Here is a 23152-nt window from a genome sequence, read left to right on the forward strand (position 1 = left end):
ATTTTATGTTTAATTGGCAATTAAATCTGTTTTAATTTCCCTCCAGCACACCAGACTTTTTCTCTCCATACGTTATGATGTAAATTTTGCTATTCGATTTTCACCTCAGTTTCCTTAAAATGCAAATTCAAGGCTATTTAGCTGACAACCGCTTAGAGTAGTAAAACAGGTTATCAAGAATTCGAAGGTGTGGCTGGGCACGGTGGCTCACGTCTGTAATCCTAGCATTTGGGAGGCTGAGCCGCAAAGATCTCTTGAGGTCAGGAGTTCAAAACCATCTTGGCCAACATGTTGAAACCCCGTCTCTACTAAAAATACAAAAAAAATTAGCCAGATGTGGTGGCAGGTGCCTATAATCCCAGCTACTCAGGAAGCTGAGGCAGGAGAATCACTTGAAGCCAGGAGGCAGAGTTTGCAGTGAGTCGAGATCAAGCCATTGCACTCCAGCCTGGGCAACAGAGTGAGACTCTGTCTCAAAAAAAAAAAAAAAAAAAGTAAAAAAGAATTTGAAGGTGTAAGAAAAAAGCTCTTTATGAATCTATAAGATGAACTTCTTTCAGCATACCTAATACATCTGTGTATTTATGTGTTGTTGTGTACACAGTGTTTTGCTACTGAAAATATATAAAAGAGCTCTAATTAATTGGCTTAAGAAAATAAAAGCACTTGGCTGGGTGCAGTGGCTCATGCCTGTACTCCCAGCACTTTGGGAGGCTGAGGTAGGTAGATCACCTGAGGTCAGGAGTTTGAGACTAGCCTGGCCAACATGGTGAAACCCCATCTCTACTAAAAATACAAAAATTAGCCCGACGTGGTGGTGCGCGCCTATAATCCCAGCTACTCCAGAGGCTGAGGCAGGAGAATTGTTGGATCCCGGGAGGAAGAGGTTTCATTGAGCTGAGATCTCATTACTGTACACTCCAGCCTGGGTGACAGAGCAAGACTCCATCTCAAAAAAAAAAAAAGAAGCTAGTGATTCCATATCTTCAAATCAAATTTCAGTGGAGTGTTTACCGGGCAAGGAAGGCAGGGGGGTCAGCTTGCTGACAGCCTCAACCTGCCAGCCCTCAGCCTGCACATTTGTGATCACCTGGTCACACACCTGGGCAGGAGGCTGCCCCTCCTCCCTGGTTTGAGGAAGCAGGAAAAGGTACCCGCGAGAGACAGCCAGCAGTTCTGTGGAGCAGCGGTGGCCGGCTAGGATGGGCTGTCTCTGGGGTCTGGCTCTGCCCCTTTTCTTCTTCTGCTGGGAGGTTGGGGTCTCTGGGAGCTCTGCAGGTAAGGAGGCCTAGAAGGGCCTGGTGGGCCTCTCCCCTAGTAGGGCTCTGGGAGTGAATTTCAGTATGAGCCACCCTTCATGGGCAAGGGCAGGCTCTCTCGGGTTGATTATAATGAACCACAGTGCTACTTGTGAAGTGCTATTATTGTTGATAAAGAGTGTGCAAATGACAGTGTGAGTGTAAGCGTGCATGGCGCTGCAGTACACACTAATCAACCATGACGATGTGTGTGAGTGTAAGCGTGCCTGGCGCTGCAGTACACGCTAATCAACCATGACGCTGCCATCGTAAGGGATGGCTGAGAGTTTGTCTTTATGAACGTGGGACAGTAAGTGGGGCACGGAGCGGGGGTGCAGGGAGGTGCCAGCTGGTGATCATTGTGCAGAAAGCTGAAGAATGTGGCTTAACAAGATTCTGACTCCTCCCAGTTTATTACCTAGCATGGATTTCCTTCAAAATACAGATTTCGTGTGAAAAGTCCAACTGCCACAAACTGCTTGGGAAGGGTGGATGCTGACAGGCAGGGCTTTTGTGAAAGACGGGAATGAACCCTGACCTGTCGCTAATAGGAGTTGTGCCAAACTCATCACATACATTAAAAAATAGAAAAGGATTTATTTTTTTTTTAGTTCTATGCTCCCTCTAAACCTCGAGTGGAGAGGCCGGGCGTGGTGGCTCACACCTGTAATCCCAGCATTTTGGGAGGCTGAGGTGGGTGGATCACCTGAGGTCAGGAGTTCGAGACCAGCCTGACCAACATGGAGAAACCCCGTCTCTACTAAAAATACAAAATTAGCCGGGGGTGGTAGCAGGTGCCTGTAATCCCAGCTACTCGGGAGGCTGAGGCAGGAGAATTGCTTGAACCTGGGAGGTGGAGTTTGCAGTGAGCTGAGATCGCACCCTTGCGCTCTGGCCTGGGCAACAAAAGTGAAACTATGTTTCAAAAAAAAAAAAGCTGCAGTGGAGAGTCTGGAGTTCCCATCCCCACCACTCACAGCCTCCCCCATCATCAGCGTCCCCCACCAGAGTGGCACATTTGATAGGACTGAGGAACCTACTTTGATGCATCATTATCATACATTGTATTTTTAATCCTCACAACGGCCCTGCAAGATCGGCCCTGTTTTTACCACCCCCCACCTCCACTGCTTTAAGGGTGAGGCCACTGTGCTTCTGGGCATCCAGTAACAACTCCTCGGAGCCAGAATCTGACTCCTCACAGGCCTGAGCACTGCACCCCGTGGCCTCCTGCCTGTGCTCACCGTGGCCTGGTCTGCGCTGCACGTGTCCCGTTAGCTCCACCTTACAGGTGCGGAAATGCAGGCTTGGAGCTGAGAGACTTGGCCAGGGTCACAGGGCAGAGAGCAGATTCTCCAACTCAGGGTCCCAAGTCCACACGCTTTCCTCTCCACCAGATTTGAAGATTGTACCAGGAGAGCCGCAGTGTTCCAGAGCTACTGAGGGGCTGGGCTGGGATTTGCTGTATTCGAGAAGACCCCCTTGGACCCGAGAGGCTGTGGGCTTGGGGAGCATGAGGAGGTTTCACAGCAGAAAGGACACCCCGGGGCTCCTGGATAAGCCAGAAAATGTGCCAGGGGAAGTCGGGCTCCAAGGGCACCACTCTGGGCTTCCAGCTGTGTGGGCTGGACCAAGAAGGCTCAAAGAAATGATCTCAGGCTTGAAGTGGGGAGAAGAAACTGTATTATGAAGGCAGACGAACAGTTCCTGCAAAAGTGAGATTTGTGTGTGCAGCTGGGCCGCACTGGACCAGGGATGAGAGTGGGTGCCCGGGACTCGCCTATACTGCCTGGGGGTGCAGCCCGCACTCCTCACTATAGTCAGATCAACTATGCGTGCTTTCCAGTGGCCTGGGAGAGGACTCCATAGGGAGGGATGCTTACCTTGTGGGCTTTGGAATATAAGCCCTTTCACCTTCTCCGCTGGTCCTCATCACGTTGGCAAGGCAGGTATTGTGACCCTGTTTTCTCAGGTGAGGACATGGAGGCTGGGAGGGGTCTAGAGACTGGCCTGGCTAGTAGGAGGCTGAGTCAGGATTTGAACCAGCAGATCATCTGACCCCGGAGCCAGTCGTGGGCGGCACAGCGGGAGCTGCAACCGAGGCTCTTGACTCCTGCGTCGTCATTCCCTGAGGTCCACAGGACAACCAGTTGGGGACCTGGGGCCCCATCCTGATGCCCTGGGGAGAGGTGCTAGGCCCCTTTTGGGTCTATGGGCTACTTTTGGGCCAGTGGAGCTGGGTAAAGACCATCTCAAACCCTGTGCCAGGGGAGGTCAGACTCCAAGAGCGCCACCTTTGGGCTTCCAGCTGTGTAGGCTGGACCAAGAAGGCTCAGAGAATTAGGGGGTTCGTATTTGATCCTTTTCCTTCCAAGACTGGGATTACCAGATAAAACACAGGGCATCCAGTTACATTTGAATTTCAGGTAACAATTTTTTTTAAGTGTAAGTATGTAGCCAATATTGCATGAGAAATACTCATGCTAAAAAGTTATTCGTCGTTTATCTGAAATGCAAGTTCAAATTTAACCGAGTACCCTGTATTTTTATTTGCTAAATCTAGAAACCCTCTCCAAGAGGCTCCTTGGCCCACTCACAGGGAGAGCCCGATCTCCCTCTAGACAGGGGAGGCCCCCTTTCTCAGGCCAGAAAAGATCTTGTAGTAAACTACTCAAGAGGCTGAGGCAGGAGGATCGCTTGAGCCCAGGAATTCAAGACCTGCCTGGGCAACAGAGCAAGACCCTGTCTCTAGGGAAGATATCCTACCGTAGCCTCCCTCGGGGACTCCCATTCCTCCCACCTCAGGGCCAGTCAAGGGAACAGGCCTCTGCTCTGGGCAGAAGTGCTGGCAGCCGCTCTCTGAAAAGCTAGGTGTTGCCTCAGGGTCTCCCGGTGTCCTGTGGAAAATGCCTGGCCACGGTTTCCATGGTTCCCAGGCTCCAACCCTGCAGTTCTCAGCCCTCATTCAGGAGGGGCCTCGGCAGGGTGGGGGGTGCCGTCTTTCCCTTGCTGGAGCCCCAAGGACTCTGCCGGCTCCCTCGCTTTGGCAGCAGCACTGCCCACCCTGTCTCTGGAGGTTCCCCCGCCTCAATCCACCCAGCTACCCCGAAAGGCACAATCATAGGCCTTTCTCGTCTTTTAAGGGTTTTTACTTCCATGGGGAACTATGTGTTGGATGAGAAAAGTATCCGGGGAAGGGGACAGAGGTTCAGAAAGCTCTGCGAGTCCTGGACGCTGGTCTGCCTTCTTGGCTCACCCTGGAAGGTGGACGCTGGCCCCACACATCCCCTCTTAAAGACGCAGGCCGATAGCCAGCAGATCCTGGGGCTTGCTGGCCCCAAGTGAGTTGTCAGGGTTTCAGAGGACACCAGTCATGGCAACCCCAGCTCCATGGCTGCCACACAGGCCTGGGCTTCCCAGGACTGCCTCCTTCTTGTTCGCTTATGTAGATGAAAAATGAGGTAACGGCACTCCCCTGCCCCACCCTCCTCCCAGAAGTGCCCAGGGTGTAAACGCAATAGCTTGTGTGAAGTCCACTGGAACCCAGGCTCACCAAGTCAGTCTTAACCAACACAGGCCCCAGCACCCGCAGAGCAGACACTGCGATGACAACGGACGACACAGAAGTGCCCGCTATGACTCTAGCACCGGGCCACGCCGCTCTGGAAACTCAAACGCTGAGCGCTGAGACCTCTTCTAGGGCCTCAACCCCAGCCGGCCCCATTCCAGAAGCAGAGACCAGGGGAGCCAAGAGAATTTCCCCTGCAAGAGAGACCAGGAGTTTCACAAAAACATCTCCCAACTTCATGGTGCTGATCGCCACCTCCGTGGAGACATCAGCCGCCAGTGGCAGCCCCGAGGGAGCTGGAATGACCACAGTTCAGACCATCACAGGCAGTGATCCCAGGGAAGCCATCTTTGACACCCTTTGCACCGATGACAGCTCTGAAGAGGCAAAGACACTCACAATGGACATATTGACATTGGCTCACACCTCCACAGAAGCTAAGGGCCTGTCCTCAGAGAGCAGCGCCTCTTCCGACAGCCCCCATCCAGTCATCACCCCGTCACGGGCCTCAGAGAGCAGCGCCTCTTCCGACGGCCCCCATCCAGTCATCACCCCGTCACGGGCCTCAGAGAGCAGCGCCTCTTCCGACGGCCCCCATCCAGTCATCACCCCGTCACGGGCCTCAGAGAGCAGCGCCTCTTCCGACGGCCCCCATCCAGTCATCACCCCGTCACGGGCCTCAGAGAGCAGCGCCTCTTCCGACGGCCCCCATCCAGTCATCACCCCGTCACGGGCCTCAGAGAGCAGCGCCTCTTCCGACGGCCCCCATCCAGTCATCACCCCGTCACGGGCCTCAGAGAGCAGCGCCTCTTCCGACGGCCCCCATCCAGTCATCACCCCGTCACGGGCCTCAGAGAGCAGCGCCTCTTCCGACGGCCCCCATCCAGTCATCACCCCGTCACGGGCCTCAGAGAGCAGCGCCTCTTCCGACGGCCCCCATCCAGTCATCACCCCGTCACGGGCCTCAGAGAGCAGCGCCTCTTCCGACGGCCTCCATCCAGTCATCACCCCGTCACGGGCCTCAGAGAGCAGCGCCTCTTCCGACGGCCCCCATCCAGTCATCACCCCGTCACGGGCCTCAGAGAGCAGCGCCTCTTCCGACGGCCCCCATCCAGTCATCACCCCCTCATGGTCCCCGGGATCTGACGTCACTCTCCTCGCTGAAGCCCTGGTGACTGTCACAAACATCGAGGTTATTAATTGCAGCATCACAGAAATAGAAACAACGACTTCCAGCATCCCTGGGGCCTCAGACACAGATCTCATCCCCACGGAAGGGGTGAAGGCCTCGTCCACCTCCGATCCACCAGCTCTGCCTGACTCCACTGAAGCAAAACCACACATCACTGAGGTCACAGCCTCTGCCGAGACCCTGTCCACAGCCGGCACCACAGAGTCAGCTGCACCTGATGCCACGGTTGGGACCCCACTCCCCACTAACAGCGCCACAGAAAGAGAAGTGACAGCACCCGGGGCCACGACCCTCAGTGGAGCTCTGGTCACAGTTAGCAGGAATCCCCTTGAAGAAACCTCAGCCCTCTCTGTTGAGACACCAAGTTACGTCAAAGTCTCAGGAGCAGCTCCGGTCTCCATAGAGGCTGGGTCAGCAGTGGGCAAAACAACTTCCTTTGCTGGGAGCTCTGCTTCCTCCTACAGCCCCTCGGAAGCCGCCCTCAAGAACTTCACCCCTTCAGAGACACCGACCATGGACATCGCAACCAAGGGGCCCTTCCCCACCAGCAGGGACCCTCTTCCTTCTGTCCCTCCGACTACAACCAACAGCAGCCGAGGGACGAACAGCACCTTAGCCAAGATCACAACCTCAGCGAAGACCACGATGAAGCCCCCAACAGCCACGCCCACGACTGCCCGGACGAGGCCGACCACAGACGTGAGTGCAGGTAAGTGGCTCCTGCTGGTGATCTTCGGGGATTTGGGATGCGGAGTTTCCAGGACGTCTCCGCACTTGAGGAGTGGAGAGGAGGGAAGGATCTGGAGCCTACTCAGAGCCTGCTCCTGATGTTGCCTCTTCGTGATCTTCTAGTGGTTCTTGGCGAAATCAGGAAAAGGCAGATGGAGGGTTGTGTATGGAAAGGGGTGGGGATGGAAGTCCGGAGAAATGGTTTGCGGTCTCGGCTCTGCCTGTAACAACCCGAGTGACCTTGGGCAAGTCCCTGTCCCTCTCTGGGCCTCAGTTTCTCCACCTGTATTTGGAGAGGGTTGGAATGGGCACTGAAGTCCTGTCCAGCTCTGACCTTCTGTGAAGTGCACTGTTGAGCAGCTCTGGAAGCTTCTATTCCAGCCATAGCCACACAGAGGAGCAGCAGGCAGGCATCAGGCCCAAGCTGCTGCTCTCTGACAGGCTGGGACCCCATGAAAGTGGGGCCTGCTGGATGCATTTCCTGGGATTTATGCCATAGATAGTGACTTAAAATAAATTAATACAGGCCTGGAGCGGTGGCTTATGCCTGTAATCCCAGCACTTTGGGAGGCAGAGGCCGGCGGATCACCTGAGGTCAGGAGTTCGAGACCAGGCTGACCAACATGGTGAAACCCCATCTCTACTAAAAATATGAAAATTAGCTGGGCGCAGTGGTGGGCGCCTGTAATCCCAGCTACTTGGGAGACTGAGGCAGGAGAATCACTTGAACCCGGGAGGTGGAGGTTACAGTGAGCTGAGACGGAGTGAAACTCCGTCTCAAAAAAAAAAGGTAAGATAAAATAAGCAAATACAGCGAAGGCTTGGGAGTTTAAAGCTACATCTCTGAGGCAACAGGGACTTCTCAGGGGAGAAGTTCATTGTCAGAGGCTGCTTGGTCAGTCCAGCTTCTGGTCAGCCTGTAGCCTCCACCTCCACTTCCTGTCACTCTGCCCTTGGGCCTCATCTCTGTGTATCCGCAGCTTGTTACCACCTTTCTGGGGGAGGTGGGAATACAAATATTAATCACAACCACTCAATACATAAAGATATTATTGAATATCTTTCATGTTATAGGCAGGGGTGATATAAACATGTTTCACACCCAGTAAGCACTGGCCCCAGCAGAACGTTCTCTCCGGTGCCAGGCAGTGTGCCACCAGCTTTGCATATGTTATCTGATGCCAGGCAGTGTGCCACCGGCTTTGTATATGTTATCTGATGCCAGGCAGTGTGCCACCGGCTTTGCATATGTTATCTGATGCCAGGCAGTGTACCACCAGCTTTGCATATGTTATCTGATGCCAGGCAGTGTACCACCGGCTTTGCATATGTTATCTGATGCCAGGCAGTGTGCCACCAGCTTTGCATATGTTATGATGCCAGGCAGTGTGCCACCAGCTTTGCATATGTTATCTCCTCTATTTAACCTTCAAAACAGCCTTAGGAGGTGGGTAACACGACCCCATCTGACAGGGTTAAAGATGGTAGCTAAACTGCTCTGGAAAGTGAAGGGGTGGCCTGCCCCTCCACACCTGTGGGTATTTCTAGTCGGGTGGGATGAGAGACTGAGAAAAGAAATAAGGCACAGAGACAAAGTATAGAGAAACAACAGTGGGCCCAGGGGACCGTCGCTCAGCATACCAAGGACCTGCACCGGCACCAGTCTCTGAGTTTTCTCAGTTTTTATTGATTATTATTTTCATTATTTTAGCAAAAAGGAATGTAGTAGGAGAGCAGGGTGATAATAAGGAGAAGGTCAGCAAGAAACATGTGAGCAAAAGAATCTGTGTCATAATTAAGTTCAAGGGAAGATACTATGCCTGGATGTGCACGTAGGCCAGATTTATGTTTCTCTCCACCCAAACATCTCAGCAGAGTAAAGAATAATAAAGCAGCATTGCTGCAAACATGTCTCACCTCCCGCCACAGGGTGGTTTTTCTCCTGTCTCAGAATTGAACAAATGTACAATCGGGTTTTATACTGAGACATTCAGTTCCCAGGGGCAGGCAGGAGACAGTGGCCTTCCTCTATCTCAACTGCAAGAGGAGATCCTCTTTTACTAATCCACCTCAGCACAGACCCTTTACGGGTGTCAGCCTGGGGGACGGTCAGGTCTTTGTCATCCCACAAGGCCATATTTCAGACTATACATGGGGAGAAAGCTTGGACAATAACCTGCTTTCAAGGGCAGAGGTCCCTGCGGCTTTCCACAGTGCATTGTGCCCCTGGTTTATTGAGACTAGAGAATGGCGATGACTTCTACCAAGTATACTGCTTGTAAACATTTTGTTAACAAGGCACGTCCTGCACAGCCCTAGATCCCTTAAACCTTGATTTTATACAACACATGTTTTTATGAGCTCAAGGTTGGGGCAAAGTTACAAATTAACAACATCTCAGCAAAGCTTGTTTAAAGTACAGGTCTTTTTCAAAATGGAGTCTCATGTCTTTCCTTTCTACAGAGACACAGTGACAGTCTGATCGCTCCTTCTTTTCCCTGGAAAGAAAAATACTTTATTATTTGTTGATTAGATAAGACATTCATATGATTTGAAATGGAAAGGTACGAAAAGGTTCACCATAAAATGCCTTTCTCCCCTGGCTGTGCCCCCACCCAGTTCTCTCCACACATGTAACCCGTGAGATTGTCTCTTGTGTGTAATTTTCTGCACATGAAATGTACATACGGAAGCAAATATATGTGACTATTTCATCCTCCTCTTTTTTTTTTTTTTTTTTTTTGAGACAGTTTCGCTCTTGTTGCCCAGGTTGGAGTGTAGTGCTGCGATCTCAGATCACCACAACCTCCGCCTCCCAGGTTCAGGCGATTCTCCTGCCTCAGCCTCCTGAGTAGCTGGGATTACAGGCACGCACCACCATGCCCGGCTCATTTTGTGTTTTTAGTAAAGACGGGATTTCTCCATGTTGGTCAGGCTGGTCTCAAACTCCCGATCTCAGGTGATCCACCTGCCTCTGCCTCCCAAAGTGCTGGGATGACAGGTGTGAGCCACTGCGCCCAGCCCTGATTTTCATCTTACTGTTCTCCATTTGCAGGTGAAAATGGAGGTTTCCTCCTCCTGCGGCTGAGTGTGGCTTCCCCGGAAGACCTCACTGACCCCAGAGTGGCAGAAAGGCTGATGCAGCAGGTGAGTGGGCACTTTCCGGGCCAGGGGAGTAGAGGAAGGGGCGAGGTTCGCAGGGGCTGCAGGGAAGACCCGCAGGACACAGAAGAGCAGCTACCGCGCTTGGAAGGGAGTCTCGTTTCTTACGGAGAATTGGGAGCTGAATCTGAGGATCTCTGCCTGGCTTTGCTTCTGCCTGCCTTCTCCGAGTTCTTCATTTCCTTCTCTGCAATGTAAACATGTGACTCCTAGAGCCCCCAGTTTCTTCTGGTCCTTGGAAGCTTGGCCTTCTGGCCTCTGAGGCAAAGGTCAGTGATACTGATGGGAGGGTAGGTCGGACTCTTGGTTGCAAGTGGCAGAAACCCAAGTCAGGGCAGTTTATGCAAAAAAAAAAAAAAAAAAAAAAAGGCAAGGTCTGAGAAACCTACAAGTGTCTCTTCAGCTTCAGTACGGCTGGATCCAGCAGCTCCAGCGCCATCACAGGGACTTTCTCTTTCTTTCCCTGTCTTAGCTTTACTCCCTTCATTCTTCAGAGTCTTTCTTCATGTGTATGAAAAGGCAGCCTTGTTAGCCATAGATTCACAAGGGACTTCCATCTCCCCACATTTTCTTTTCTTTTTTCTTTTTCTTTCTTTCTTTTTGTTTTTTGAGACGAAGTCTCGCTCTGTCGCCCAGGCTGGAGTGCAGTGGTGCGATCTCAGCTCACTGCAAGCTCCGCCTCCTGGGTTCACGCCATTCTCCTGCCTCAGCCTCCCAAGTAGCTGGGACTACAGGCGCCCGCCACCACGCCCAACTAATTTTTATGTTTTTTTTTTTAGTAGAGACGGGGTTTCACCGTGTTAGCCAGAATAGTCTCAATCTCCTGACCTCGTGATCCACCCGTCTTGGCCTCCCAAAGTGCTGGGATTACAGACATGAGCCACCGCACCCGGCCCCCTCTCCCCAAATTTTCATGTCATCTGGGGAAGTGCAGGTCTCCATGGCCTGCAAGGGTCACCATGACTGACAACCCAGTCAGGATCCCATAGAGGAAGGATGAGCCCCAAGAAAATAGGGAGGCTAGGCAGAAAAAACCGCAGAGATGTATACTCTAGATGAGGACCATGATTGGGATGTATTTGTACAAGTTGGGAAAATTCTCCTAAAACCCACTGGATAGAACTTCCAATGGTAAAGTTCCGGGGTCAGGGTTTTGAGGATGGGGATGGTGTGGCTTGTTGGAGGTTAGACTGGGTCAGCTCAGTGCAGATGTCACGGGCCTGGCCTCACTGAGGGGTGGGTTGTTCTCCTAATGTGTGGTACAAAGTAGCAGATGGGGCATGATGGGAAGTGTCTAAGCTCTGCTCACAGATGTAACCGTGAAAACAGGCCCAGTGCACAGTCTAATGTGGATTGCCTCTTTGACAGTGCCCTTGCTAATACCTGAAGCTTGCATTCAGCACCTCTCACAGTCAATGGGACAGTGCCCTTGCTAATACCTGAAGCTTGCATTCAGCACCTCTCACAGTCAATGGGTGCCACACTGCTGAAAAGTGGCTCAGGCTTCCTGTCATCCCTTGCAAGGGTAAACCTGGCAGAGATGCTGGCTGGGGGTCTTATGCCAGGTGTAGAGTTCATAGCCAGGCTGGACAGGTGGAATGATTGCCCTTAGCAGAGGGAAGCAAGATATGTCCGTGGAGAGTGGGATCCTTTGTTGCAGGCGAAAGAAAACCTCTGTCTGTCGTAAGTAAAAGGGGGATTTGTTGGCAGCGTCCCAGAGTGCATAGAATCAAAGCAATGCCAGGACAGCAGGCTTGGAAAATAGGCAGGAGGGCCCCCAGGAGCTCTGAGGTCCAGACAGTGGGATCAGGCTGGCTGGGACACTGTCCCTCTTGCTGGTCAGTCACTATTGGATGCTGCCACAGCCAAGGGGCATCACGTGGCCTGCACACACATTCACATAGGTTCTCGCTGCCTTTTTGTCTCACTGGACTTTTTGCTCCAGAGCCAAAGTCCTGAGTAGGAACATTTGATAGGCTGAGCTTAGCCCTTGTACTCCCATGAGCCCACAGCCAGGTGCCAGGGGACGGGAAGAAGGGATGTCTGTGTCCTTGGAGTTCTCTTAGCAGCAGTGAGGCCAATCGTGACTCCCACTGTGAGGAGTTCCCTAAACATGGCACGGGGGCTCGACACCCGATGGCCAAATAAGTGACAAATGCCCCCGGCATGTGATAATCAAAGTAGCGAGTGTGAATCCTTGTGGGAGAGGGAAGCCAATTGCTTTTGTTTTGTTTTGTTTTGTTTTGTTTTGTTTTGTTTTGTTTTCTGAGACTGAGTCTCACTCTGTCATCCAAGCTGGAGTGCAGTGGTGCGATCTTGGCTCACCACAACCTCCGCCTCCCAGGTTCAAGCCATTCTCCTGCCTCAACCTTCTGAGTAGCTGGGATTACAGGCCCGCACCACCATACCTGGCTAATTTTTGTATTTTTAGTAGAGATGGAGTTTCAGGTTTCAGCATCTTGGCCAGGCTAGTCTTGAACTCTTGACCTCATGATCCACCCACCTCAGCCTCCCAAAGTGCTGGGATTACAGGCGTTGAGTCATTGCGTCCGGCTGGGAAGCCAGTTTTCTTTTTCTTTTTCTTTTTCTTTCTCTTTTTCTTTTCTTTTCTTTTATTTTTCTTGAGACAGATTCTCGCTCTGTCGTCCAGGCTGGAGTGCAATGGCACGATCTCGGCTCACTGCAACCTCCACCTCCCGGATTCAAGCAATTCTCCTGCCTCAACCTCCCTAGTAGCTGGGATTACAGGTGCACACTACCACTCCTGGCTAATTTTTGTATTTTTAGTAGAGATGGGGTTTCTCCATGTTGGTCAGGCTGGTCTCGAACTCCTGACCTCAGGTGACCCACCTGCCTCTGCTTCCCAAAGCACTGGGATTATTGGCGTGAGCCACCGCACCCGGCCGGGAAGCCAGTTTTGAATCTCAGGTCTAAGCCCCCAAACCAGAAATGATTTCAGGAATCGGAAAGAAACCGCGAGATCAGGAGCAGGTCAAGCAGCTGAGGCGCAGGCACCAGGCCACATGGGGTTGGGCATCAGTTCTCGTCCGGGGACAGCCCAACAGTTTGGGCTCGGGGATTAGACAATGAGCTTAGGAACCAGCTAGATCTGGGTGTGAATTCTAGTTCCCAACTGTGTGATCTTGGATAAGTTATTCTATGCGACTTTCATCCCTTATAAAATGAGGATCCTAACACCTGCTTTATAAGGTTGCTGTGAGGTTTAGATGACATAATGTGTGTGAGGCACCAGCCTGTGTCCAGCATGTAGGAGGCCCAGGAAGGGTTGCCGTCCTCCGCATGCACTCTGCCCCAGTGTCCCTTCCTGTCCTCTGCCTCTGGCGAGCTCATGGGCCAGATGGGCTGAAAGGACAGCTGGCTCTTTTGCTCTCCAGCTCCACCGGGAACTCCACGCCCACGCGCCTCACTTCCAGGTCTCCTTACTGCGTGTCAGGAGAGGCTAACGGACATCAGCTGCAGCCAGGCATGTCCCGTATGCCAAAAGAGGGTGCTGCCCCTAGCCTGGGCCCCCACCGACAGACTGCAGCTGCGTTACTGTGCTGAGAGGTACCCAGAAGGTTCCCATGAAGGGCAGCATGTCCAAGCCCCTGACCCCAGATGTGGCAACAGGACCCTCGCTCACATCCACCGGAGTGTATGTGTGGGGAGGGGCTTCACCTGTTCCCAGAGGTGTCCTTGGACTCACCTTGGCACATGTTCTGTGTTTCAGTAAAGAGAGACCTGATCACCCATCTGTGTGCTTCCATCCTGCATTAAAATTCACTCAGTGTGGCCCAGAGGCTGTCTATTGATCTGCATGCTTTCGCCATTTTTATAGTACAGGGATTGTGTATAGTCTCACTGCTACCTCCTCCTTCTACTCCCCCAGGTCTTGGTTTGGACTTTGATGATAGCATTTACTGAGACGGGCCTGGAGCCTGTCGAACAGCCCGCTGCAGCAGGGCAGGGACCACCTTTGTTCATCTCAGTATCCCCTGAACTAGCAGAGTGTCTGGCCTGCAGTGGGATCGCAGAGAATGTGGAATTGACCTAAATTTAAATTTCAAGTTCTGGACACAAGCCTCAATTATTCCTCTTATATGTTATAACTTACATGCTATTATTTTTTTAAAAAATTAATATGGTTTACTTTTTATTATAAAAGTAAAACTTGGCCAGGCTCAGTGGCTCACGCCTGTAATCCCAGCACTTTGGGAGGCCGAGGCCGGTGGATCACGAGGTCAGGAGTTTGAGACTAGCCTGGCCAACATGGTGAAACCCCGTCTCTACTAAAAACACGAAAATTAGCTGGGTGTGGTGGCAGGTGCCTGTAATCCCAGCTACCCAGGAGGCTGAGACGGGAGAATCACTTGAACCCGGGAGGCAGAGGTTGCAGTGACCCAAGATCCTACCACTGCACCCCAGCCTGGGCAAAAGGGCAAGACTCTGTCTCATAAATAAATAAATTTAAAATAAAAGTAAAACTTGTTTATGATTTCAAAATTTTGAAATATTCCAAAGACCAAGCAAAGTAAGAAGTGGGAAGAGGAGAAAGAAAAACTTTTCTATAATCCCACCTCTTAGATACAACGATTTATTTTTTAAAATTGAGACAGGGTCTCACTCTCACCCAAACTGCAGTGCAGTGGTGCGACCATGGCTCACTGCAGCCTCCACCTCCCAGCTCCAGTGATCCTCCCACCTCAGCCTCCTGAGGAGCTGGGACCACAGCTGGCTAATTTTTGTACTTTGTTTTGTAAAAAAGGGGCTTTACCATGTTGAGCAGGTTGGTCTCGATCTTCTGAGCTCAAGCAGTCCTCCTGCCTCAGACTCGCAAAGTGCTGGGATTACAGACATGAGCCACTGTGCCCAGCCTTATATACAGCTATTATTATTAATGTATACTGTGTATTCATTTCAATTCTTAATCTCTCCACTTGGATGTTGATGAAATACATACCTCACATTCAACATTTCTTTCTTTTTTTTTTTCTTTTTGAGATGGAAAGGAGCCTGGCTCTGTCACCCAGGCTGGAGTGCAGTGGCGTGATCTCAGCTCACTGCAAGCTCCACCTCTTGGGTTCACGTGATTCTCCTGCCTCAGCCTCCTGAGTATCTGGGACTACAGGTGCCACCACCATGCTCGGCTAATTTTTTGAATTTTTAGTAGAGACGGAGTTTCACCGTGTCAGCCAGCCTGGTCTCAAACTCCTGACCTCAAGTGATCCACCCACCTCGGCCTCCCAAAGTGCTGGGATTCCAGTTAATGAGCACTGCTCCTGGCCTCCACATTTCTAAAATCGAAGTTCTGATCTTTTCCTCTGGACCTGCCCCACCTGCATCTTCCCCATCTCAGTTAACGTCAGTTGCATCCTTCAGGTGCTCAGGCCGAAATCCTCGGCACCGTCTTTATTCCCCTCTCACATTTTGCACCAGGAAATTCTGCTGGCTCTAAGGCCATCAAACTGTGCCCAGAATGTGGCCCCTCCTCAGCATCTCCAGTGCTACCACCGAGATGGTCCACGATGCCATCATCTCTCACCTGCACTACTACAGGTCTCCCTGTTTCCAGCTCAGCCCCCACCCCAGTCTAGTCCCAGTGTGTCAGCCAGGGCTGTCTTTTTACAACATAAGGCAGACCACACCACTTCTTTGCTCCAATCCTCCCATTTCACTCAGAAGAAAAGCTCCGACAACAGCTGCAAAGCCGTGCACGACCTGCGCCCCTCCCCTGCCTCCTTAATTTGCTGACTGCACCGCAGCCACACGGACGTCTTTCTTGTCCCTTGAATGCGCTGGGCCTGCTCTTGCCTTGGGACCTTTCTGTGCATTGCTTAGTCTGCTCAGAAGCCTTCTCCTCTACATATCCACTTGTCTAAACCCTCTACCTCCACCTTCATGCCCCTTCTCAGCGAGGTCTACCATGACCATGCTGCCTACAAATTCAGTCTCCCCTTCTGTACTTTGACGTACTTTATAGTGCTGATCACAATTGAACGTCATACATATTTTGTTTTCTTTATTATCTGAGTCCTCCAACTAGAATGAAAGATTTTGCCCATTATGGTTTCCCTAGTGCCAAGAACAGTACCTGGCACATACCAGGGGCTCAGTAAACATTTGTTAGATGAATGAAGGAAACAAGGAGACAATGTTGATGCTGCTGTGAGCAAGGGGAGTCTGAACGTTTGACAGATCCCTTCCATTTCTGGAGTGGGGCAGAATGAGTTTCATAAAGTAGCTCGGACAAAAATAATTCGCTCATCTTGGCATATATGTTGGGCAGCTGCCGCAGAAGAGAGACTGAGCTATGTGCCGTGGAGGATTCAAATCTGTCTCTTCTCCCAGGGATTGAAGTTAGACACGTACAGCAATAATAAGTTGAAAGAACTTATTTACACCGCATATAGCAACAACAGGATGCCCTTAATATATAGAGAACTCTTACAGCGCAAGAAAATAAAAAGGCAAACATACCAGTAGAAAAATGGGTAAATGGCAACAGGTAATTCACAAAAGAAGAAATACAAATGTCCTCTCCTCCCGCCACCACCCCCCATGAAAAAGAACGTGTGACTTCAGTAGCAAAAACAGGTCCATTAATACAGTGAGATATTGCTTATTGTATGTCTGTACTGATCTATACTGGGTGCTGGGCAAACGGGCATTCTTAAACACTCCTAGTAGGGAAGAAATTGGTACAACCTTTCCGGAGGACAATTTAACTGATTTATTTAAAGCCCGAAAAATGTACATACCTTTAACTCAGCAGTTTCGTTACTGATTTATCTTAAGGAAGTAATTTAGAATCTGTGCCTAACTGTTTACAATAACTCATAGATGAAAAAGGCAAAACAAAACACAAGTAACCTCAAATCTCCCCATGTAACAGTTTGCTTAAACACTATAGCGTTATTTTACGCAAGCTACAGAAGCATTGTTGAAACATATATTTATTAGGACAGAAAAAAATTCATGAAATGTTATTTTATCTTCTTTTTTCTTAAAATGGAACTTAAAAAAAATTTTTTTAACTCCAACCTACCTTTTACACCATCTGCAGAGCTTTCCTCTCCCAAATCAAAGCTACTCCTGTTCCTACCTCCAGGATGGAATCCCCACCTTCGTATGCAAGGGTCTTCATGATATGGCCTCAGCCAACTATCTTAGCTCCAGGTCACGGCCCCATCTTCCATATCCTATGCTGCTTGCACAGGAAGCAGCTCGCTAACCCCAGGCACACCTGCTTTCATCTGGAGCGTCTGCCCATCATGATTCCTCCCCCTGGTCCCTTCACCTGGAAAACTCCTATTCATTCCTCAAAGCCCAGTTCAGATGGCACCTCTCCATGACTTCATCAGATTCCCTACAGAGGTGCTGATTTTCTGGTCTCTTGTGTTTCTGTTGTAACACTTAACATGCTGTATTATAATGTGCTTATTTTATTTACAAGTTTGTTACATTGTACGTGCTCGAGGACAAGCAGCCGGTAGTATTCACCTCTGTCATCACAGAAGCTGGCGTGGAGCCCTCCACATGAGGGCACTGATGTGTTTGCTGAGTGACTGGGACAATGGTGGGCCACGTGAGCCCCGAAACTTTCAGTGGGCTCTGAAAGTTAAGAAAAGGGCATTCAGTACTGAAATCACACAAAACGTAAATTTAATGATATAATTGTTCCGAAGCTGCTCTATAATTTGGCATGAATGGAGAGCAGTTTACAAAAATGACAACACCACTGTTATATAAACCCAATTCTTAAATAGGTTTTCTTCTCTTGCTTTGTATTTCCTCAAGTGGGTGATACTTAATACAGTGGCTCATGTAATCTTAATTACTACATATGAGGACACGGACATGTACATATGATGCTGATTACTGTTATTTTTGGAAGTAAAAAAATTGTAAAATTTGACTAGCTTAAAAAATCTGTAAAATATGGGATACACAAATTAGAGACTGGGTGCGGTGGCTCATGCCTGTAATCCCAGCACTTTGAGAGGCCGAGGCAGGCGGATCACTTGAGGCCAGGAGTTTGAGACCAACCCAGGCAACATGGTGAAATCCTGTCTCTACTAAAAATACACAAATTAGCTGGGCATAGTGGCAGGTGCCTGTAATCCCAACTACTCAAAAGGGTGAGGCAGGAGAATCACTTGAACCTGGGAGGCGGAGGTTGCAGTGAGCTGAGATTGCGTCACTGCACTCCAGCCTGGTGACAGAGCGAGACCGTGTCTCAAAACGTCAACAAGAACAACACAAATTAGAAGCATTTGGGAACTAAAATGTATCATTATGATTGCATGTGGGTGGGTTGGGGGGGGACAATAAAGAGGAAGAGAGACTGTGTGTGTGTGTGTGTGTGTGTGTGCACGCCTGTATTACTGGAGATGACCAAAGTTAGCAGGAGTAATGTTACCAAGCTAACAGGAGCCAGAAGTCCCTGGAGAAAACTCTCCAGCTATTTAAGATTCTAAAGTGTGTGTATATGAGGTAAAAATGCCACGTTTTATAAAGACAAATTTAAGCATGGACCTAAACAAGATGGCCTGTCTAAAGTCACCTGTGACTTGGTGTGAGCTCTGAGACGGCGAAACTCCACAGCAATGATGAAGACAACGTGAGGTGGAACTTCTCTGACCAGAGACCTCATCTGAAGCTTCTGCCACAGCCAGTCCTGCCTTCATCCCTTGAGAGGGGGATTGGCCACCAAAGTATGCAAAGCATTTGAATGGAAACGAATTCCGTGGGTGCGCCCCACACTTTAATAGTGGCCATCATATCACTTTCTGGTGCCAGTAAATGCGTAAAGGGGTGCATCATGCCAGTGACCTATCACTCATCATCCCAGTCATTAAGCCACTTACTTCAGGCCTGTGGGGAGTTTCTGGAAGGCTCCTTTGAAGCAGGGAAGAATGGGCAAGGGAGTCTGTGTCTTTGGCCAAGCTTTGCCCCAGATAGCTCCTTTTGCCACTCTCGAGCCCACTGAAGGTGTCCCAGCTGCTGCCACCAGCAGGGGTCGGGGGTCTGCACCCTTCTCTCTTCCAAGCAAACTCACACCTGGCACCCTGGGGAAGGGTCAGTCAGTTATTTTATTCCAGGGGCCAAAGCGACAGAATCCAGACCACTTGTAGCCAGGGAATGAGCTGACGAAAATGGATGGTTGTGTCCTTGTCCTTCTGACTGTCCCACTCGTGAAGGGGCAGCTCCCTGTCCAGCTAGAGAAGGGTGTCCCCAGGTGCCCTCTCCTTTCTTGGGACGCCTCCTCCTCCCGTGCTGTCAGGGCCTCAGCGGCTTTGACTGGGCTCACCAAGAAAACACAGAACAGCCACTTAAATGAGAACCTCGGATAAACGGTGAACACTTAAAAATATACAAGAATGTTCCAAATAGTTCATGGGATATCTTTAAACTAAAACAATTATTTGTGGTTAATCTGAAATTTAAGCTGGGCTGCTTGTATTTTCATTTGCTAAATTGGACAGCCCTACTTTCATTATTATTATTATTATTATTATTGAGACCCAGTCTCACTCTGTCACCCAGGCTGGAGTGCAGTGGTGCCATCTCGGCTCACTGCAAGCTCCGCCTCCTGGTTTCAAGGGATTCTCCTGTCTCAGCCTCCCAAGTAGCTGGGATTACAGGTGTGCGCCACCACGCCCAGCTAATTTGTTATATTTTTGGTAGAAACAGGGTTTCACCATGTTGGTCAGGCTGGTCTTGAACTCCTGACCTCAGGTGACTTGCCTGCCTCGGCCTCCCAAAGTGCTGGGATTACAGGTGTGAGCCACCACACCTGGCCCAGACAGCCCTACTTTTAATGCATCCTCTCCCACGAGGGTCCCTGGCTCCTCTCTTCCGTCCAATCTGCGGGTCTCCTTCAGGGGTAGCAAGCTCCCAGCCTTCTCCCAGGTATTGGGCCTCTCCTCTGCCTCGGGAGGAGCTGTCCATCAAACACAGGCTCTGTCCTCCCGCTCCCTCCATTGCTTAGTGTGTGAAGGTGGACAGGGGAGGAGGGACCTTGGGTTTGGGGCGGTTCTGCTCCCCACTCGCTGCTTTGCTTTTGCTCTTTCTGGTTTCCTTTCTCCGCAGTTGATGACACAGGGCACCCACAGCGCTCACGTGCCTTCCATGGTGGGGGTGAATCCTTTGCCAATAGTGCCTGGTGGGTTTCAGGTAAGTTGTAACTTTTGGACCTTCTGCTGTCTCTGACTTTGAGTCACATGACAAGGTCCTCATGGAATTGGGATTCTGGCAGCCAGGTGAGGGCGGTCTCACCAGCTCCTTCATGCCTGCAGGCCTCCCCCTTCCTCACAACTGATGGATGGTTGGCTCCCTAGCCGCCCCGTTAGTGCCATGTGTGCTTAATTCTTTTAAAAATTTAAATATATTAATTTTAAAATCATCTTTTAAATAATAAAATTTGCTTTTTAGAGCAGTTTTGGGTTTACAGCAAAATTTTCCTGAGTGGAAAATACAGAAAGTTCCCATATGCCCCCTGCCACACACACATATACCTACGCCCAGCCTCCCCCACCACCAACGCCCTGCACCAGGTGGCACGTGTGACAGTCGATGCGTCCACGTCAACATATCCTCATCAAAGTCCAGAGTTGACAGCACATTTTTGGCGTTGGATATTCTCCATTCTCTATTCAACAACGTATCGGCTGGCCCGGCGCAGTGGCTCATGCCTGTAATCTCAGCACTTTGGGAGGTGGAGGCGGGTGGATCTCTTTGAGATCAGGAGTTCGAGACCAGCCTGGCCAACACGGCGAAAACCCATCTCTACTAAAAATACAAAAATTAGCCGGGTGTGGTGGCGCATGCCTGTAGTCTTAGCTACATGGAAGGCTGAGGCAGGAGAATCGCTTGAACCCGGGAGGTGGAGGTTGCAGTGAGCAGAGATCGCACCACTGCACTCCATTCTGGGCGACAGAGTGAGACTCAATCTCAAAAAATAACATAAATGTTTCTGCCATTGTAGCATCATACAGAAAAATAAGTAGTTTCAGTGCCCTAAAAATCCTCTGTGCTTCACTTATTCATCCCCAACCCCTGGCAACCACTGATCTTTTCACTGTCTCCATAGTTTTACCTTTTCCAGAATGTCATATAATTGCAACCGTAAGGTAAATAGCCTTTTCAGATTGTCTTCTTTCACATAGTATATGCATTTAAGTTTTCTGTATGTATTTTCATGGCTGTGTAATTCATTTCATTTTAGCACTGAATAATATTCCATCGTCTGAATGCACCATAGGTTATTTACCCGTTCACCTGCTGAAGGACATCTTGGTTGCTTCCAAGTTTTGGCAATTATGAATAAAGCTGCTATAAATTATGAATAAAGCTGCTATAAACCTCCATGTGCAGGTTTTCGTGTGGACAAAAACGTTTTCTGTCCCTTTGGGTAAATATCAAGGAGTGTGATTGCTGGACTGCATAGTAAGAGTATGGTTTAGTTTGGTAAGAAAGTGCCAAATTGCGGGCGCCTGTGGTCCCAGCTGCTGAGGAGGCTGAGGCAGGAGAATCGCGTGAACCCGGGAGGCGGAGCTTGCAGTGAGCCGAGATCGTGCCACTGCACTCCAGCCTGGGCGACAGAGCCAGACTCCATCTCCAAAAAAAAAAAAAAAAAAGAAACTGCCAAATTGTCTTCCAAAGTGGTTGTACCATGTTGCCTTCCCACCAGCAATGAAGGAGGGTTCCTGTTGCTCCACATCCTGAACAGCATTTGAAGTTTTCAGTGCTGTGGATTTTGATCATTCTTTTTTTCTTTTTCTTTTGAGACGGGGTCTCACTCCATTGCTCAGGCTGGAGTGAAGGCTGGATCGCGGCTCACTGCAGCCTCAACCTCCTGGGCTCAAGCAATCCTGCCATCTCAGCCTCCAGAGTAGCTGGGACCACAGTCACATGCTACCGTGCCCATATAATTTTTTAATTTTTTGTAGAGATGGGATCTTGCTTTGTTGCCCAGGCTGGTCTCAAACTCCTGGGCTCCAGTGATCCTCCTGCTTCAGCCTCCCAAAGTGCTGGGAGTACAGGTGTGAGCCACAGTGCCTGGTGACTGTGGTCATTCTAACAGGTGTGTATTGAGTACAGTTGTGAGCCACGATGCCTGGCGATTGTGGTCATTCTAACGGGTGTGCATGGGTTTCGCGTTGTTTGCGGTTCCCTAATGACATACGATGTTGAACATCTTTGTAGATGCTTATGTGCCATGTGAATGTCTTCTTTGGTGATATGTATGTTCAGTTTTTTTACCCATTTAAAAAACTGGGTTGTTCATTTTCTTATTGTTGAGTTGTAAGAGTTATTTGTATATTTAATTAATTAATTAATATTTTTTGAGACAGAGTCTCACTCTGTTGCCCAGGCTGGAGTGCAGTGGCGCGATCTCAGTTCACTGCAATCTCCGCCTCCTGGGTTCAAGTGATTATCCTGCCTCAGCCTCCCGAGTAGCTGGGATTACTACTACTGGTAGTAGTAATGGCGCCCGCCACCACACCCAGCTAATTTTTGTATTTTTAGTAGAGACAGGGTTTCACCATGTTGGCCAGGCTGGTCTCCAACGCCTGACCTCAATTGATCCGCTTACCTCAGCCTCCCAAAGTGCTGGGATTTCAGGTCTGAGCCAGTGCACCCGGCTCTTTGTATATTTTAGATAAAAGTCTTTAATCAGATGGGACTTTTGCAAATATTTTCATTCTCTTGCCATTGCCTTTCACAGAGAAGAAGTTTTTAATGTTAATGAAGTTCAGCTCATCAATTATTTCCTTCATGGATCATGCCCTTGCTATTGTATCTAAAATGTCATCACCATACTCAAGGTCATTTAGATTTTCTCCTATATTATCTTCTGGGAGTCTTACAGTTTTGCATTTTATTGAGGTTTATGATTCATTTTGAGTTTTTATGAAAGGTATAAGGTCTGTGTCTAGATTTTTTTTTTTTTTTTTTTTTTTTTTTTTTTTTTTTTGCTTGTGGATGTCCGGTTGTCCCAGCGTCATTTATTGAAAACACTATCTCTGCTCCATTGTGTGGCCTCTGCTGCTTTGTCAAAGATCAGTTGACACATTTATACAGGTCTATTAGAAATATTACTTTTAATATTCTGGGCTCTCTATTCTGTTCCATTGATCTATTTGTCTATTCTTTTGCCAGTATCATGCTGCTTTCATGACTATAGCTTTAGAGTAAGCC

General features: G+C 49.7%; 1 protein-coding gene across 1 annotated transcript, besides 3 other annotated features; it reads left to right on the plus strand.

Moving 5' to 3' along the window:
• MUC20 (mucin 20, cell surface associated) lies at nt 1173-13746 on the plus strand. The gene is made up of 4 exons (NM_001282506.2): nt 1173-1278; nt 4875-6767; nt 9843-9934; nt 13345-13746. Exons 1-4 carry the CDS (start codon nt 1203-1205, stop codon nt 13411-13413), a joined length of 2130 nt encoding a protein of 709 aa, NP_001269435.1. The 5' UTR covers nt 1173-1202; the 3' UTR covers nt 13414-13746.
• Nucleotides 6433-6934: an enhancer, noted in NCBI's record as "H3K27ac hESC enhancer chr3:195453109-195453610 (GRCh37/hg19 assembly coordinates)". NCBI's record gives its function as "activates a minimal SCP1, AML or CMV promoter by ChIP-STARR-seq in naive H9 embryonic stem cells {active_cell/tissue: H9 hESC(naive)}" and the evidence as "EXISTENCE:reporter gene assay evidence [ECO:0000049][PMID:30033119]".
• Nucleotides 15315-15815: an enhancer, noted in NCBI's record as "H3K27ac hESC enhancer chr3:195461991-195462491 (GRCh37/hg19 assembly coordinates)". NCBI's record gives its function as "activates a minimal SCP1, AML or CMV promoter by ChIP-STARR-seq in primed H9 embryonic stem cells {active_cell/tissue: H9 hESC(primed)}" and the evidence as "EXISTENCE:reporter gene assay evidence [ECO:0000049][PMID:30033119]".
• Nucleotides 19501-20309: an enhancer, noted in NCBI's record as "H3K27ac hESC enhancer chr3:195466177-195466985 (GRCh37/hg19 assembly coordinates)". NCBI's record gives its function as "activates a minimal SCP1, AML or CMV promoter by ChIP-STARR-seq in primed H9 embryonic stem cells {active_cell/tissue: H9 hESC(primed)}" and the evidence as "EXISTENCE:reporter gene assay evidence [ECO:0000049][PMID:30033119]".

This window comes from Homo sapiens, chromosome 3, assembly GCF_000001405.40.
Source record: "Homo sapiens chromosome 3, GRCh38.p14 Primary Assembly".
NCBI classification, from domain to species: domain Eukaryota; kingdom Metazoa; phylum Chordata; class Mammalia; order Primates; family Hominidae; genus Homo; species Homo sapiens.